General features: G+C 40.7%; 1 protein-coding gene across 1 annotated transcript in view; it reads right to left on the bottom strand.

The window, feature by feature from the left end:
- Positions 1–18,607, bottom strand: part of KIAA1217 — an 853,117-nt gene that overhangs the window by 537,888 nt on the left and 296,622 nt on the right. The window contains exon 2 of the mRNA NM_001098500.3: positions 2,582–2,731. The gene's annotated coding sequence lies outside the window, so the exon portion shown is untranslated. The remainder of the gene's footprint in view (positions 1–2,581; positions 2,732–18,607) is intronic.

Below are 18,607 nucleotides of genomic sequence, written 5' to 3'. Positions count from 1 at the left end.
TGACTGCCTATGGACAACCACAAGGACAGAGCCCCCATACAGATACACACATTCAGCTCAGACAGAGTAAGTCTTAATCACAGAGTAAGTCTTTGAGAGCGAATCTCCCAAGCTCAGAAAGCAAAAGAGTTCCAACAACTCCTGCAGCAGAGACTAGAACAAGTGTCAAGAGCCAGAAATATTAACTACAGGCTAAGAGGTAGTCATTTCCACTTCCTTCCAGAGCTCGGTTCAAATCCTGGGCTTACCACTTAGTGACTGTGTGACCTTGAGCTAAGCATTTCAACTTTGCAGGGTCCTATTTCCCTGTGTGTAAGTGGGGATAACCAACAGGTCAACCCCATGCATGGTTGTGAGATGAAAAGATATCACATACACTGCACAGCATGTGACATGCAGCAGACATCAAATAAATAGTAGCTATTGTTTTGTAGCATTGTGATTATCCATAATCCTGGGTTTGCAACATCATTAGTGCTATAATTTGAAACACATTTATTCTTTATATTCTAGCAAACTAGTTCAAAGCCTGTTTTTCAAATACATTATCTAGTTTGGGCTTTAAAAAAAAAAATCCCTGTCGATGTTCTGCTCTGCTTATCAAAGGCTCTCTCTAACGCTTACCCAAGGGTAAGTAAATTACACAGGATTCTGTTCTGCCTTCTATTATTCTTCTCCAACCACATTCCATGTGATAATGGGCCAATTCCTTTACTTCCTCTTTCCTCCTACCACATTCTATACCCAAAAAAGATGCCAGTTAAGTTTTAACCCTCCTTTAAAAGTGAATTTCCAGCTTTATTTTATTCTTTAAAATTATTTAAAGTGGTTGCAAGTTCTTTTAGTGCCCTCCAATCCCAATTCAGGCAACAAAACAGTCACAAGAGAGAATGATTAGTGCTTTTGCCAGGGTCTCCTCCCACGGATGACTTTGTAATGAACTATGCATCCATAAAAGGTTGACTCTTTGATCTCTTGCTGCTTGTACAACGCTAAAGCGCAAGGCATTCCAGGGCAAACCACACAAAGAGAGAGGAACACAGGTTATTTATGGTAGTCTGCTGACTCTAAGTTTAGCCTAGCTCTTTAAAGATTCAAATACACACATCATATTGACTGCCAGGTCTGCTCCCTCGTGTTACGGCAGCATCTAATGGGGCGGTAGCGTAGGAATGTCTGATCCCTGGCTTCTCCCTGGGGTGAGAAAGGTAGCTGGTTTGGCAGAGACAGTCACAACAGTATTTATAGAGACAGCAGAAAATAGAATCCATATGCTTACAAAGGGAAGTCAGGGTAAATCACCGGGAGCTGAGAGGACTCCTGAACTCCCTTTCTGAAGCTTGCTTGGCTTCTGGCACAGACTAAACAGGACCTACCTACCAGCTTTCTAGCTGCACAAAATCCAGCACCCGCATGCCCTCCTTCATCTGGTGGTTTTCTACCAACAATATCACTTTACAGAAGGAGGGGATACAGCCTCTTTGGTTGCTTGAATTCAGAAGCTATTTTGCAAACTTTCTACCGTCACTCAGGGAACTTTTGCCATCATTAAGCGAACTTCCTGTGTCAGAGCTGGTGCAAACATTCTGACATTGAGGAAGCTAAGTTTAATGCTTCCTGACAATGATTCTCTGACCATGATGTCGAAGGCCCTTCTATCCCTCTGTGATGTGGCTGAGTGCTGATTTATACAGCTCACTAAACCAAACACCAAGTTGAATGAAGACGGTATTGAGACAAGATAAATAATCTATCTATCTATCTATCTATCTATCTATCTATCTATCTATCTATCTAATTTCCTACCTTCCTATGGATTAAATACCAAAATTTTACATCTTGCAGGCAGAATGTTGAGGGCTGTATGAAAACTTTGTAATGGGAGAAAATGAAAAACGTTAATAGTTTTTATTAGCATAAAATATTGAACTGGTGGATTTATGAACAGAATTTAGGCTGAATGAATATGCTAAAGTTGGGGATTAATTGGTCATCTCACCATTCCAGACACTCAAGGCCACTCATGTAGGCTGATTTGGGGAAAGCAAAGGGATCTCAATGAAACTGGAAAATTAATTTTGCTCTTTTATGGGATCCTGACTTTGATCAAGATCATATAATTGGACTGACCCAAAAACAACTCTTATTTCTGATTCATTCTATTCCCTCCATAGACACAGGCAGTCATCAGGTATCTACACCGTTCCCTCTATCCTTTGCCAAAAAGTTCATGTTCTCTGAGCATTTTCGTATTCTTTAGTCATTATCATGGCTTTGAGCCAGAGTCTGAACACAAAGACAGGCATATAAATGGATCTAATACATGGTCTGAAAAATAACACATATGTGCTAACCCTGTCCGCAACACCAAAGGAAGAATGACTGAAAAATAAAGCAGCTACATATCAGAACAAATACCTGTGGGAAGATTGCAGGGTTCAATTTGGACATTTTGTTCCACTGAGCTCAGAGAGGGAATGAACAGAAGCCAAGTTTTATAGATAGGCCTACAGCTCATAATTCACTCACTGTCAAGATGATGGATGCTCATTTTATGATTTAATAAAAAGATAGACCTTACCCAAAAAGAAAATAAGCAGGAGGAGGAAGACTCCATGGAGAAGTAATGCAGTCTTTCAGGGATGATTCCCAGGGGCTCTGGGCTGTGGTTCCACTCCGTCTCCAGGACACAGTGCAATCGGCCACAAATTTAGGACCCCAGGATCTCCGTCTGTAAAATACAAGTCATAATGGAATTGTTCCCACTGCAGAACTGCTGAGTAATTAAAACTCAAGTGGATAGCAAAAAAAAAAAAAGCAGAAAAAACTGAAGAATAAAATACCTCTATGATATACAGCCTGGCTCAGGATGCTTTGTAATTACACACAGGGCTTTATAGTTATCCAAAGTTAGAGTTCAAGTTAACTTCAGTTTTCCAGTATTTTCCCCAAAACATTAGTTGGACGCTATAAAGGAAAGTAAACACATTCGACTAAGTCAACCATGAAAATAAGAGTTGGCTTAGGTAGTTGGGGGCGGAAGGAAATGAAGAGAGGCCAATTGAGAATCAGAGAGGCTGAATGAAAAGCTGAACCATTGCAGACTCGCATCTCTAATCCCTTTATTAAGGATGATGTGCAGCTGCAGTGGCTATGCCGCTCCAAGAGCCTGCTACACAGAGATGCCTGGTTCCCTCAGCCATGCCAAACAAGACATGGTCATGGTCATGCTCATGGGAGTAAGGACAGGTAGGAGAGCCTGGAACATTGGTGAACATGAATTGCCCAACATAAAGGTTTCTGTCTAAATGGAATTTTGAAGCCTAAAGATTTCAAAATTATGGATGATGCTGAGAGGCACCTCTTCTGTGGAGGAGGGTTTTGGGATTGTTGAGGAGACCCAGAAGAATGAACTTGACATTGCAACCTCCCCCTGCACTTGGTAGATTTCTATGCTGTGGGAAACTATAGTGATTTACTTGATGCCAGAAAACTGGGGGCTCACAGAATAAGGCAACTGGTTAAAACAGTATTTTTCCCAATAGAAATTTGTTTCTGTAAACTCCTCTTAGGATCCTGAGAAACATATTTTAAGGAGAAGGAAAATGATGGATAAAAGTATGGAAAAAGGTAATTGAACACACTTATGTCAGAAACACATTATTGAGTTTTGACCATCATTTAGTAGCCAGGCTATTAAAATGTGAACTATGCCTCAATTAACACATATCACAAACATTTTGTTGAGTTTTCACCCTGAAATACTCATGCTATTATACTTTTAAAATATTGGCTATGACCATACAATTTAAATTATTTCTTGTGCTGAGTTCAATAGTTATGAATATTGTCATACTTAAAGTTTTATTTTCAAGCTCTTTTGGGCATCAAAGTGGTCCACTGAAACCGTATAACACAGGAGAGATGAGTAGCCTTGATGTCAGGTGAAGTCTAGGTTCCTGGCGAAACCATTTGATTTCTGGGCTGTTTCTTTACCAACAACATGAAGCTATAAGTTCTTGATGAGTAGAGGATAGGGTCCCAGCTCTGCTAATCTATATTCGAGGTTCTAGTGTTGATTCTGTGACCACTTCGTCATAAAACTTTGCACACATTCTTACCTACTCTGAGTTCTTGTTTTGTCTAATACTTAGAACAACATTTTCTCCATTCACCACACTAAGTTCCACTGGCCACTGAATGACAACAAAACTGTGAAATACTGAAAATTGAATATCACTACAATGTGCCAACTACCTGGCACTCTAACAAGACACCACACTAAATCCATTGTTATCACTTTTAGTAATAACAATTCTCTGGAAAGGTAGAAGTGATCTCACACATTACTATAAAGGAAAGTGAGTTTCCAGATTTAAAATTATTTTCCTGGTGAGTAGCAGACTCAGGATTTGAACCCAGGTCAGTGTGACTTCAAAGTCTGGGATCCTTCCACTTACATAAACCAGTGACCAGGTGAAGGAGTGATTATTTTGCCCAATGACATAAACATAGCTGTTTGATTGCTTCAAATTATTATTAGAATAATGGTAATAGTAATCAATTGCCTGACTGTCCCTGTAGTGAAGTCCTCTAGGGTCAAATCTGGTGAATTTGAACTAATTAGGGGAGGTAATTGAAAAATGTATATAAAATAATATAGACAATAACTAGCTTACATTGAGTGCCAAGCATTGTTCCCCATACATTATCTCATGTTATCCTCAGGACAGTCCTGCCAGCTAGGCATTGTTAGCCCAATCCTGCAAATGAATAAGCCAACACTTTTAAAGGTTAGTTACATTGTCCAAAATCACGCTGTAAGTGGCAGAAGCCTGATCCCAAATCCCAGTCAGTCTAACTCCGTAGCCCATTCTCTCCATGGCTACTCTTTTTCTGTGCGTGTAATAGTTCACAATTCTATGTGAATAAGTTTACTCTTTGGGACAGAAAGTTCTAAGCTGCTCCCACCATCCATCTCTTTTCCTTGAGTCCTGTTGTCGAACCTTCCCACTTTGGTCCTCCAGGACACCAAACAAGGCTTCTGGTCACTCCTGGTTCCACAGCTTACAGCCCTTCCTTCCCACTAGATTGGCCCAATTCTATCCCTGTTCCAAACATTTGTATTCATCTTTTCTGCTCTTCTTCCTCCAAATCTTTGCCTCAATGGCTACAGTTTTGCTCTCTTCTTTTCCCTTTCTGCATGTGAGAGAGAAGAAGAAAAGAGCACCCTGAGAAAGTTGTATATGAGAAGGCAGACAATTTGTGCATGCACAGTGTGGGCACTGCAACAGGACATGAAAATACACCTTGAGTTATTTGCTGGTCACTGGATCTTGTTGAGAAGTAATTAGCAATAATAATCCATTGCTTGGATCTCTTCGTAGTAAGCAAAATTCTCTAGAATCTAATCTGGAGAATTCAGACTAATTGGGGAGGTAATTGAAAAGTATATTAGAATATAGTTCCAAATATAGTTTTATTATTTTTACACAAATAGAGTAATTCCAGTTATACTACTAAAAATGGCCAAGTGGAAGTTCTTAGTGAATTTTGTTATAATGAATGAATAAGAACATTTGTGATCAGTCTGTGGGTTTTTTTAAAAAAAGATGAGTATATCAAGACCACTTGGCTTAACCTGAAAAATCTTGTCTTTGAATAAAATAAAAAGCCCTCGGCCGGGTGCTGTGGTTCATGCCTGTAATCCCAGCACTTTGGGAGGCTGAGGTGGGTGGATCATGAGTTCAGGATTTCGAGACCAGCCTGACCAACATAGTGAAACCCCGTCTCTACTAAAATACAAAAATTAGCCAGGCGTGGTGGTGTGTGCCTGTAATCCCAGCTACTCAGGAGGCTGAGGCAGGAGAATCGCTTGGAACCGGGAAGCCGAGTTTGCAGTGAGCTGAGATCGTGCCATTGCACTCCAGCCTGGGCAATAGAGTGAGACTCCTACTCAAAAAGCAAATAAATAAAATAAAATAAAATAAAAAAAGGTCTCTGAAATATTTTGGATGTTGCTACCCAGTTCGTAAGACTTTGGAAGAGAGGGTTTATTTAGTAAATATGAACTTCAAATCAGTTAAACTCCAAATTATTTAAAAATTAAAATACTTTGGAAACAATAGGAATATGAAACCCACTGAGTCTGAATGAACACAATTTTCCTGTTTGACTACTGCAAATTACTACAGTAGTAGAATTATAGAAACATTCTGTGATTCAAAGTGACACATTAAATCATCAGAGTTATCCTGTGATAGCGCAGTATTTGTGAGAAAAGCAGTTGTGAAACCCACCCCTTTTTGCAAAAGACTTTCTTCCACTGGTGCCCTGGCAACCAGTCAGATTTTCTCATTTGAGAAATTCAACTTGGCTGCATACAATAGATAGAAATGCAAGAAAGTAAGGTGCATTTTCATCAAATGTGAAACAGTTGATGATATTCAGAGTTAAAGAAATACTATTTGAAGGACATGAACAGACAATTCTCAAAAGAAGGTAGACAAATGGCCAAAAAACATAAAAAAAAGCTCAACATCACTAATTATCAGTGAAATGCAAATTAAAACCACAATGAGATACCACCTTACTCCTGCAAGAATGGCTAAGCTATAATTAAAAAATCAAAAAATAATAGATGTTGGCGTGGATGTCGTATAAAGGGGACACTTTTATGCTGCTAGTGGGAATGTAAACTAGTACAACTACTATGGAAAACGGTGTGTAGGTTCCCTAAAGAACTAAAGGTAGATCTACCAATCAATCCAGCAATCCTACTACTAGGTATCTACCAAAAATGAAAAAACAAAAAACAAAAAACAAAAAAACACTTGCATGCACATGTTTATAGCAGCACAATTCACAATTGTAGAGATGTGGAACCACCAGAAGTGCCCATCACCTAGTGAATGGATTAAGAAAATGTGGAATATATACACCATGGAATACTAATCAGCCATAAATAAGAACAAAATAATGGCATTTGCAGCAATCTGGATGTAGTTGGACACCATTATTCCAAGTGAAGTAACTCAGGAATGGAAAATCAAGTAGCATATGCTCTCACTTATAACTTCGGAGCTAAACAATGAGAATGCGAAGGCATAAGAATGATATAATGAACTTTGGGGACTCAAGGGGAAGGGTGTGAGGGGGGTGAGGGATGAAAGACTACACACTGGGTACAGTGTTCACTGCTTGAGTGACAGGTGCACCAAAATCTCAGAAATCACCACTAACAAACTTATCCATGGAACCAAAAACCACCTGTACCCCCAAAACTACCAAAATAAAATTTAAAAAATAGCATTTGAAGGATATAAAAGAGAGGGGTTTGGGTTAATTTTGTCCTTATTAAATAATACATTTAATTGCCAGTGATTGCTGGTTTAATGTGAAGCAAGGTAACATCTGAAGTCGGATGGAGCAGAGGTCCCCGCCAGAGCCTCTGGTGGACCCACTGGGCATCTGAGGAGGCCTGGAACAGCAGGAGCAATTTTTGTAAAGAAGGAGAGAGGCAAGTTCTCTGGAATGTTCTAAAAGTGCCTCCGTGGTTAGAGGTGGGGGCAATCTGAGTAAAGTGTGTGACCTAAGACTTGGAGCTGACCCAGGCCCAGCCCTGGACAACCTATGCCTGAGCTCTGTGGAGAGAGGAGACTAAGAATGAATTGGAAAGAACCACAAGTGACTGTGGCCCTGACTAGAAGTTGCTAGTTACCAGCTGTAAGGAGAATTAGGCGGTAAGAGATTGAGGGCAATTGCCACAAATCTGCTCATCTCCCCTCCTTCCGTGGCTCTTCACCTTCCTGAGAATAATATCCACAGCCCTGAGAGCCCCGTGAGATTGTTTACCACAGTCGGCATCAGCTGCCTGCCTCTTGGTTTCTTTTCCCAGCCTCATCTACTATCACAGACCCCATAGGGATCCAATGCCCAACTCACGGCTGAACTACTGGCAGTTGCTTATTCAACTATGTTCTCTCATGACCCCAGCTTTGCTGTGTGTGACACCCTCTGTCTGGAATATCCAGTATCTGCCTGAAAAAAAAATCACCTACACAGCCTGCAAGATACCAGAGCAGCACTCTTTCTTCTGTGAAAACCATAGCAAACTCCTCCTTGTTTAAGTATGGCATGAAGTAGTGGCTAAGAGTGTGCCCTCCAGATGAGATGCTCAGGGTTTGAGTTTAGACATTCCCCTCGCTCAGGCAAACTTCTGTTTCTTACAATCAAGAACTTTCTCTGGTGCAAACACCGCCTTCATACTATTCTTTTGAATCTTCCTATTCAAATCACCACTTTCTATATCAGTTAACCTCTCAAAGACTGTTTCCTCATCTATAAAATGGAAATGATAATGATGGTAATAAAAATACACACATGCCATTTAGTTGTCTTAATAAAATAACTATCTGTGAACCATATAGTAACCTCCCTGGTATACAGTAAAGGCTCAATAAATGCTAAGAATATTTTCATGTATCTCTTATTATAGCATATCTTATGTCACTTAAATACTTGTTTACTTTCTATCTTATCCACTAGAATCTGAACTCTTTGGAGGAGGACCTGTGCCTTACTCATTTTGTGTTTCTCACACCAGAAATAATATTTGTCGCATAGTTCAGTTTGATCATTCATGTAATAAGAACTCACCGAATGGCTGCTCTGTGACAGACATTTGCATATGAAGCATGGCAGATGTATGAATGAATGGGGTCAGGAAAATAGTACATAAGTAACTCCAATTATTACATAAAGACAGTGATTATATTATGTAAGATGAGCCATATTAGTTAAATTATAAGTAGAGCAACATTTCAATTAAAATATACTCACATTGGCGATTAAAGCAGCTGTGTGTGTGTGTGTGTGTGTGTGTGTTTACTTTGCAGTCTGGCCCTATTCTGCAATATCTTTATTGTTAAGGTTTTAATTCAACAAAATCAAACCTCAATGTACTAAAGAACTCCAAGAGATTATCTGGTCTTCATTCAAAAGTTCAGGCCATCAGAGTCCACACATTTTCCCCCACATAACCAATTTCCAGAATGCTGTTTCTTTTTCCTGCCTCTCACTTGCCCTCAGTGCCCATTTGAACACACAGGAGGCCCACGGAGGGCGAGCAGTGCTCGACCTGGGGTGAAGCCCCAATTTGTAGACAAGGCACGGCATCCAACAGCCAGAGGAAGCTGTGTACTTGAATAAATCTGACAGTGTTTTCTCATGCTCATCAATCTTTCCAGCGTGTTTGGTACAGTTGAAAAGCCAGTTGGATTTCCATGACTGTTCAGATCACCACTTGTGCCCCAGGATACTGCATGGCACAGAAATGACATCAGACCTACAAGATACACATTGTGTTACTCAATGCCCGATGTTAATTGCATTAGTCTGTTCTCATACTGCTATAAGGACATACGAGAGACTGGGTAATTTATAAAGGAAAGAGGTTTAATTGACTCACGTTTCCGCAGGGCTGGAGAAGCCTCAGGAAACTTACAATTATGGCAGAAGGCGAAGCAAACCTGTCCTTCTTCACATGGTGGCAGCAAGGAGAAGTGCCGAGCAAAATGGGGAAAAACCCCTTATAAAAACATCAGATCTTGTGATAAATCACTCACTATTACTAGAACAGCATGAGGGTAACTGCCCCCCATGATTCAATTACCTCCCACTGCTTCCTCCTACGACACGTGGGGATTATGAGAACTATAATTCAAGATGAGATTTGGGTGGGGACACAACCAAACCATATCGCTAGTTATATAAAGGTATACTTTTACTGAGTTGGATTTTAAAAGTATACAATGCTAGAAATTATGATAATATATGAACCATGCTTCCAACACTTTTATGAGGTTTACTGTAATCATTTGCTTGTTTGTTAGATAGGGTCTTACTCTATCACCCAGGCTGGACTGCAGTGGTGCAATCACAGCTCACTGTAAGCTCAAACTCCTGGGCTCAAGTGATCCTCCCACTCAGCCTCCTGAGTAGCTGGGACTACAGACTTGTGCCAACATCCCCAGTTATTATTATTTTTTTTAATTTTTAGTAGAGACAGGGCCTTGCTATGTTGTCTAGTCTGGTCTCAAATTCCTGGGCTCAAGCGATCCTCTCGCCTTGGCCTCCCAAAATGCTGGAATCACTTGGGAGGGATCACTATAGTAATCTTAATAAATCAATAGAGGGCACATGATATTTTTATTAGTCAGAGTGTTCTAATACATTTCCCCTTCTATACTGAATATTGCGGGAGAGTCCACCATTCAAAACTCCTTCGCATTATTGGGAAATTCTCTGCCATGTCAGCGAATCTACCCCCTCATCCCTTAATCTAAGTGGAAAGGGTAAGACCCTTCTCAGACGTTTCCCTCCGCCTTCCCCATCTCTGCACCATCCCTGGCCACCAGTGTCCAGGTAGGTGATGTGGGCTCTACTCTAAACCCTGAGGGAAGGACTCAAGATGACGCGAAGGGTAGAAGTAGCAGTGGCAGCAGTGTGAGAGTGGCTTGTGGCAAGAGATGGCAGTGGTGGTTCCCTGGCCACATTGCTCCTGCTCCTTAATTGTCAGTGCCTACTTGGTGCTGCCAGGGTCCAACACTGCCTCCAGCTACTCAAGAGTCAGTGAGTTCTCTGTCTCCTATCCCAGGTCCTGATTCTTGCAATGAGGCACCCTCCCTGGGGCAAACACACAGGTTTCACCCTGTTCTTTTGAATCTTCCTAATTCAAATCAACCAACAGACTAAACAAAGCAACCAACAGCAACACCAAATATACATACAACCATGCAAACCGCTTTATTTGTATTCTGATTTTAAAAGGCAATGCAGTTGTTTTCTTATAAATTGTGTAACAGTGCCCAGAAGAAAAGCAGAAAAAAACTGTATATGGCTATTTTTAGTGATAGTTATTTTCAGAAATATTAATATAAAGCGATCCCAATGATAGAGATCTAGTCTGCATATTTGAATATATATCCAAATATACCATCTGTTGTGCTGTAACTTTTACAATGCCTTCTTTCTGTCTTGAAATATTTCTAAATAAAAACCATAGCCAAACATTAAATCTGGAGTGTACACTCAGCTTTGAATTGCTTTTAAATCAGTAACCATGCTCAATACGAACCATGCTTGTGTTTTTGCTCACAGAATCAAAGTATTTTCAATGCAATGCAAAGGCCCTCTGCTTATGAGAATTCTCTGTTGAGCCAGAGAATCAGTAAGACCTTTTGTAAGTGCCCAGTTTCCCCAACTAATTCTCCCCTGTTGTTCAGAATGAAATTCAGAATATAGTGTCATGGAAATTGAACTGGCCTTTTTAACTGTATCAAACATGGTAGAAAGATTGGTGAGCATGAGAAAACACCAAAAGATTTATCGAAGTACACAGTGTCCTCTGGCTGTTGGCCCCTGTGCCTTGTCTGCAGATTGGGGAATCACCCCAGGTCGGGCAATGCTTGCTCTCCATTGGCCTCCCATGTATTTGAATTAGCATTGAGAGCAAGAGAGAGGCAGGAACGAGAAACAGGGTCCTGGAAATTTGTTCTCTTGGGGCAAGTGCATGGCCACTGATGCCTGAAGATTTGGATGCAGACCAGACAACCTCTTGGGGTCCTTTTCTGCATTGAGGTTTGATTTTTATTGAGTTAAAATCTTAACAATAAAGATATTTTAGGATGGGGCCAGACTGCAAAGTACATAAAAGTCAGGAAGGAGAACACAAAGAAATAAAGGCACCAGGTAAAGGATATTTGTTTGAAGACTTTGCTAAGGTTAAGTCTTTTTTTTTCTTTTTCTTCTTTTTAAAAATATAAGTGAATTTACTAATGTTTGAAAGCAAAGGAGAAAGAGCCAAACGGAGGGTAAAATTGAAAATAGTTGAGAGGACATTCCTGGGGAGTTGGTATAAATGGGATTCAGAGAACAGGCAGTTAGATTAGTTTTGGGGGGAAAAAAAAAAAGAAAGCCCCCTTCTCCATACCTCCTGGCTTCAGGGAGCCATGAACAAAACCAGTCAATGTTCCCTGGAGAAATCACTCCAGGTATAGGCATGGCTGTGCCCTTCTTCCAACCTCCACCATTCCCTACACCTCCCATATAACTGAACTGGCACTGAGAGGGAGACACAAGTAAGAAAGGGAAACAGGGCCCCAGAGATAGGTTCTCTGAAAGAATATACAGGGCCCTGATGCCTGAAGCCTTTAATTCCCTCCATGGATAGAAGGCCACCAAAATGCTGCCAGACAGTGAAAGGCCCAGGTCTGTTACATCTCTCTATCTAGAATTAGATGTAAAGTATATGTTTGAATTCCAAGGAATAAAATGACTTCTCATGGTAGAGAAGGTTTCACATAGAAAATATTATCCTGAAACCTTCCAGCCTGAGCGTCTTCCTATAGCTACCTACCACAAATTATTTTTGTAATAAAAATAAGCTCCCAGAACAAACTAATTACATGGGAGAACAACTTACATTTCACTGCAGTTTCCACAATATATATTTTTCCCATCAAATGTGAGTTAGCCAAAGTAATTAGGAAAAATGATTAGCGAAGCTCTTTATTGAACATGGACCCAAGCAATTAAAAAATTAAAGCATTTCTTTTCATAGTGGCCTTAAACTCTATTTTCTTTTAAGAAGTCCTCAATTTTCCCTTCAATGATACTTTTTGGGGGGACATGTGATAATGTGGGAAAATGTAACCCTTCTCCTGAAAATAATACTAAGTTCTTTTATCCTTCTTTCACAGTAGAACTTCCTGCAAGTTGGTAGGAATCATGAAATGTGGCTGCTTCTTCCTTAAGAAACACTAAAAGCACAAACAGTTGAAATCCCAGTACAAAGCATTCATAGAAGAGACTTGGGAATCACCTTCGAAACAGGTTAGACCATGAAGCTGTGCTGTTTTTCAATTCTCAAGTCATCCTGGGCTTCTAAGAAGTAACAGTGAGTTTTGAAGGCATTTGTATCTCCTCTTTATGCCTTTACATTTTAAAATACTGGGATGCTCAGGAGTAAATAAGAATAAAAACCATGTGACTGAAATCCCATTTTCCCCTGTGAGCTAGTTAAGTATTGTTGGAGTTTCCGCAATACAAGGGTAAACTAGCATCTCTCTTCATTCTTTTGAACTGTGGGAATTCAGGCTTATAGAAAAATCTACTAAAAACAATAAAGATCAAAGTTAAAGTTCATTTTTAAAAAAGCCTTTTAAAATATATTAAAATTTTATAATTTTGTACATAAATTTAGACATGAATGGATTAGTATTAGTTCCAATTATTTCATGGTTGTTTTATGACTTAGGATCTTCATGGAAAATGCAGTTTTCAAGTACTTTGGTATGACAATTAGCAGTTTCAAGTGAAACAGTGGATTTTTTTTCTCAACATTCTTTCAGCGAACATTTACTGTAGGGCTACGGTGTACCAGGCACTGTGACAGGTGTTGGATACACAGTAAAAAAGAAAATAACAGTTTCTGCCGTTGTGTTTGCTGTCTAGGGAAGAAAAACTCACCACAAGGAATTACCGGCCCAGTGCTCCCCTTTCCACATGGAGAAATTGTCTCCTTCCTATATCATAAATCCATTTTGCGGTTATGGTCCCCAAATGCAATACCTTCCCTGTCAATCCGAGGCAAGAAGGCGCATAAGCACAACTACAATAACTTGATTTTCATGGTTCCTGCTTCCTGAAGAGCATAAAGGCAAGATGCTTTCTGAATATCTTTGAAATGACTGCATTTGGTTTGTTTAAGGGCAAAAATGGCTGAATAATGATCTTGGTGCTTCTAGGCATATGCAGAGGCTAGAAGTGGGCAAAAAAGGGAGGCAGGGGAGTTGCTTCTCTATGAAACCAGACACATACCTCTTTGCTATGGGCTAGCACCAACATTTCAACCCCAGTTTGAATTTGCAAAGCATATTTCCATCATCTGTGACATTCATCACGGTACCCCAGTGAGATGGACTGTTTCATGGCTTCCATTTTACTCAAGAGAAATAAGAAACAAGAGGCGAAGTGACTTTCCCAAAGTCAAGAATAGACTGGGGACCAGGATTCAGAGTTTGCAAATCACTGTCCTGTGCTGAGCATGTTCAGCCATACGCTTAACCTTGCCAAAAAAATAAGGGCTCCATTTTTACTGTTTAACTAATTAGAATCAAGACACATCAGGCAGGCAGGCAGCACCTGGTTCATAACACAGTGACATTATTTTATTGCTGTTTCAATCTAAAAACTTAATGTGCTTCCAAACTTCTCAATGCTTTTATGAGACAGTCCCTGGATTGCCGCTTCAACCTGTATCTATTCCCGGGTATCTTACATTTGCAAAATTGCACTGAGAAAATATTACTTAGGAAATAATGAAAACTCAAGTAGGAAGGAAAAATGCTCTCTTAATAATGAGGAAGCCATTTGCCCTAATTTCGTTATATATAGACACAACACACACACTCACACACACACACACACACACACACACACACAGGCCATAATTGGCTGTAATGGAATTGATAAAGTAGGAAATTTGCTTTGAGGGGTTTTTACCCCAAATCCTGCAATTATGAACATGTCAGGTTTCCTAAGCAGTGGTTTTTCCAGAAAGGATTCTATTGTGTTTCTTTTTCCCATTTACCAATTTGATTAGCTTTTTGCCTAAAAGCTAAGAGCAGCATTCTAATTACTCCAGAGCACAGGGGACTTGGTCTTCTGTTATTTTGTAGGATCTTCCAGGAGACCATGATCTCCCCGAGGAACAGAGCCACCCCTGTACTCCTAGTTCCCAGGGCAATGCTTGGCACACGGCAAGTGCTAAACAAAAATGAATCTGAGTGTGAATCTGTTCTCTGCTATTACCAATGCTGCTCTTGGGCTCTTTTAAATTTTAATAACATGGATTGGAGGCAACACTTTAAAAGACACGGAAAAGCAAGTTTTTTTAATTTTTATTTTACAGCTCAGGGTAAGGGTATTACATAATTGTAAATAATGCATTCATATTTCAGATCTTGAAACCAGTGAAAAACAGCCATTTCAGACAAGAAAATAAATGATGACATGCTCCCAGCAAAATTGAATCCTGTATTGGTTATGAAGAGAAAATCCAACCTACGCTTAACAATGCTTCCATATTCACTAAAAGTTTCTACAGTTTTAAAGTTTGAAATGTTGCCCAAGGGTTTTAATGAAGCTCCGGTTCAAGGACAGAAAAGTTGTATGGTTCGGATTTGACTTTGGTCAAGATGAAATGGTTTGTGCACACAGCTTCCTACTGCCCCCTGGTGGGATGATGCTGAACTATGCTCAGAAACCTTCCATCAACCTTAGGGTCAATCCCAGACATGATCTTGGCTTCCACAGCGACACCTTCAAAAAAGGCTGCTGAGTTTAAAGTTAAAACTCTCCTTGACTTTCTGTCCCATTTCTCCAAAGCTTGACCTGGGTAGTAGAAAGAAAGGGCAACTGCTTAAAAGGGCGATGTTAGGACTCCATCCGGAGAACCCAACGATCACGATAGTCCCATGGATAAGGTGGTGTTGGGCTGTGGGACTGTCCTGAGACCTAAAATCAGCACAAAGGAGATTTCCACTACATCAGATGTCCCTGGTCCTCAGCTACCTAATCCCCATCCCTCAAACTCCCACATATCCACACCCCAACCCAAGTGTAATATGCCAACTAAAAGACCATTGAGGTCATGTTCAGCTTCAATAGTCATCAACTTATGGTGTAGAAACCAAGAAAGGCTTGTCAATGGGAGGGTTTTTCTAAGCCAGGTCAGGAACACAGCACAGTCATGACCAGGTTAGACCAAAGACGACTCTAAATCATTCACATTCTCCTCTTTCCCTCTAGGGATCCCCAGATCTGCTCACAAGCTAGAGTAGTCGCTAAGCCTTGGTACTTGCTATCCCATCCACTGCATCAGGAGAAATGCGAAGGCCTGTAACCTCAGGACAGTTTCTCTGTTCTCTTGAATGTTTAGGAGCCTGAGCTGAGACTTAGGCACACCGGGAAGACTCATCCCAATTCACATCTCTTACAAAAGGTGGACTACAGACTGGGTGCGGTTGCTCATGCCTGTAATCCCAGCACTTTGGGAGGCTGAGGTGGGTGGATAACTTGAGGTCTGGAGTTCAAGACCAGCCTGGCCAAAATGGTGAAACCCCGTTTTCTGCTAAAAATCCAAATGTATTTTTGATGAAAACACAAAAATTAGCTGGGTGTGGTAGCATGCACTTGTAATTTCAGCTACTTGGGAGGCTAAGGTAGGAGAATCACTTGAACCCAGGAGGCGAAGGTTGCAGTGAGCTGAGATCATGCCACTGCACTCCAGTCTAGGCAACAGAATGAGACTCTGTCTCAAAAAAAAAAAAAAAAAAAAGCTGGGCTATGGAGAGCCAAACTCTTGGACTCTGGGAAATCTGAAAGAGTTGGATAATCTCCTGGATATCTTCCATGGAGCTTCTGAAGGTATTGACTATTCCTGATTAGGATGAGGGGACTAAGCAATAGCCTAGAACAAGAGAGGAGAGAAGACCATGAAAGTCCTCAAGACTTGCTGTTTAGTCAACTTACACCAGTGGGGATAAAAAGGAAGCTATCAGGCTGGGCGCAGTGGCTCACGCCTGTAGTCCTAGCACTTTGGGAGGGCGAGGCAGGTGGATCACTTGAGGTCAGGAGTTCAAGACCATCCTGGCCAACATGGTGAAACCCCATCTCTACTAAAAATACAAAAATTAGCCGGGTGTGGTGGCTGGTGCCTGTAATCCCAGCTACTTGGGAGGCTGAGGCAGGAGAATTGCTTGAATCCGGGAGGCAGAAGTTGCAGTGAGCCGAGATCTCACCACTGCATTCAAGCCTGGGCAACAGAGTAAGACTCCATCTCAAAAAAAAAAAAAAAAAAAAGGAAGCTATCAGAGTACCTTTGTTCATGGGGACAAGTGACTGCAAGTGGCTCTTAAATGACATATAAGCAAAGAAAAAGAAAGTAAAACTGGCGGTGGTATCACTTATTCCATTGTCCCGCAGTGTTGGTTCAGTTTATCTGGCTGGTTAAGGGTGGCCTTTCTTCCTCCTGCCACCCTCACACTCCATTTGTGTCCCTCCTAGAGTTGCAAGCTCAGTGAAGGAGGATAAATAGTGTGACTCTGTCACAACACAGAAACTCTCCTCGTGCATTTGTAGGGGCCAACAGGCATGCCACTTTGACAGTGTTAGGGGCCCTGTGTCAAATCAGGGCCTGACCTTGAAGCTTCCTTCTAGACCTTTGGCTGGGATGCGTTCCTTCTTATCCCATCACGAGGGCTTCCAAAAAAAAAAAAAAAAAAGAAATGATGGCCCTGTTCTGGCCTTTCTTGTTTGCCAAATAAACATATCTCATGCAGAACACTTCTTATCCTGGGGGGTCTTCAACCTCAAATCAGGACATGAGCATATTCTAAATGATTCCTTTCTGCTGCTTTGCCTTTGTCAGCCTCCATCCCTCTCCTGTTACTCTTGGGTCTCATTCTTGACTTTGAAAAGATGGCAATGGGGTAGGCAAGGATTGCATCTCCTTCTGGATCCATCACGTGAAACACTGATATCTTTGCTAGAAGTTCAAGCCTCACCATTTCTATTTCTATTTCTTGGCTGCTCTGTGAGCTGTATTAACTTTTTAGATTCTTCACTTAGTGAGTTTTTCCTTTTTGAATGGACTTCTGAATACATATTTGCCAAAGTAATTTCCACAATGAATTATCAATAAAAAGAAAACTTATAAATCTACATGGGTAGCAAAATCCAAAGCACTCTAGTTGTCTCAGTTTTGTGGTTTGGGGAGTATTCTTTTATGGTGTTACAGAGTCAGAAAAGTAATTTTACCAGAAGAGAGCCCATAAAATGATGCGTTTTGGGGGGCAACCAGGTAATCATGTCATAATATTAATGGATTGCAAGACAATTTATGTTCTCTACTCTCCACCATGAAAAGTTGACTTACTCATAGGCTTGTAATGAGCAGCCTTGCTATATTTAATGGGATAATGTACTCAGCCTAGTAGTCAAGTTCTCCTAAAACACACCCAACCAGCTACTTCCTATCATGAATCCCCCTGCCCCCAACAGATTATTTTCCTATCTGACACTGGGATATGGGGTGTTTATTACCAACTTAAAGTATGTGTGCATGTTATCGCCTTCCCTAGAATGCCATTCCCTGTCTGCTTCATGTAATTATATCGTACGTCATGGTTGTGATATACTGATATATCATATACGTGAAATGCGGATAGATACGTTCTAGATATATGAATATCTAGATATAGAATCTATGTAGATATCTGAACATATGAACATATATCTAGAACCTACCCCATTTTACAGTCCAGTTCAAATCCAGGGCGGTGTATAGAGATTACTCCCTTTTCTGAACCACAGCACTGAATATATTACACTTGCAGATACAGGATCTATGATCTCACTTCTTCATGCATCCATTTATTTCTTAATTAGAGAATAAGCTCCTTCAGGACCTTGGCTTGTACTTTCGTGTTCCCACTAACCACTTAACTCAGGGCTATGCATATCTGAGTGCTTAGCCAGTACA

The sequence above is a fragment of the Homo sapiens genome, chromosome 10 (genome assembly GCF_000001405.40).
Source record: "Homo sapiens chromosome 10, GRCh38.p14 Primary Assembly".
Taxonomy (NCBI): Eukaryota; Metazoa; Chordata; class Mammalia; order Primates; family Hominidae; genus Homo; species Homo sapiens.
The sequence above is the reverse complement of the archived record's forward strand: the minus strand, read 5'-3'. Positions and strand labels throughout refer to the sequence as shown.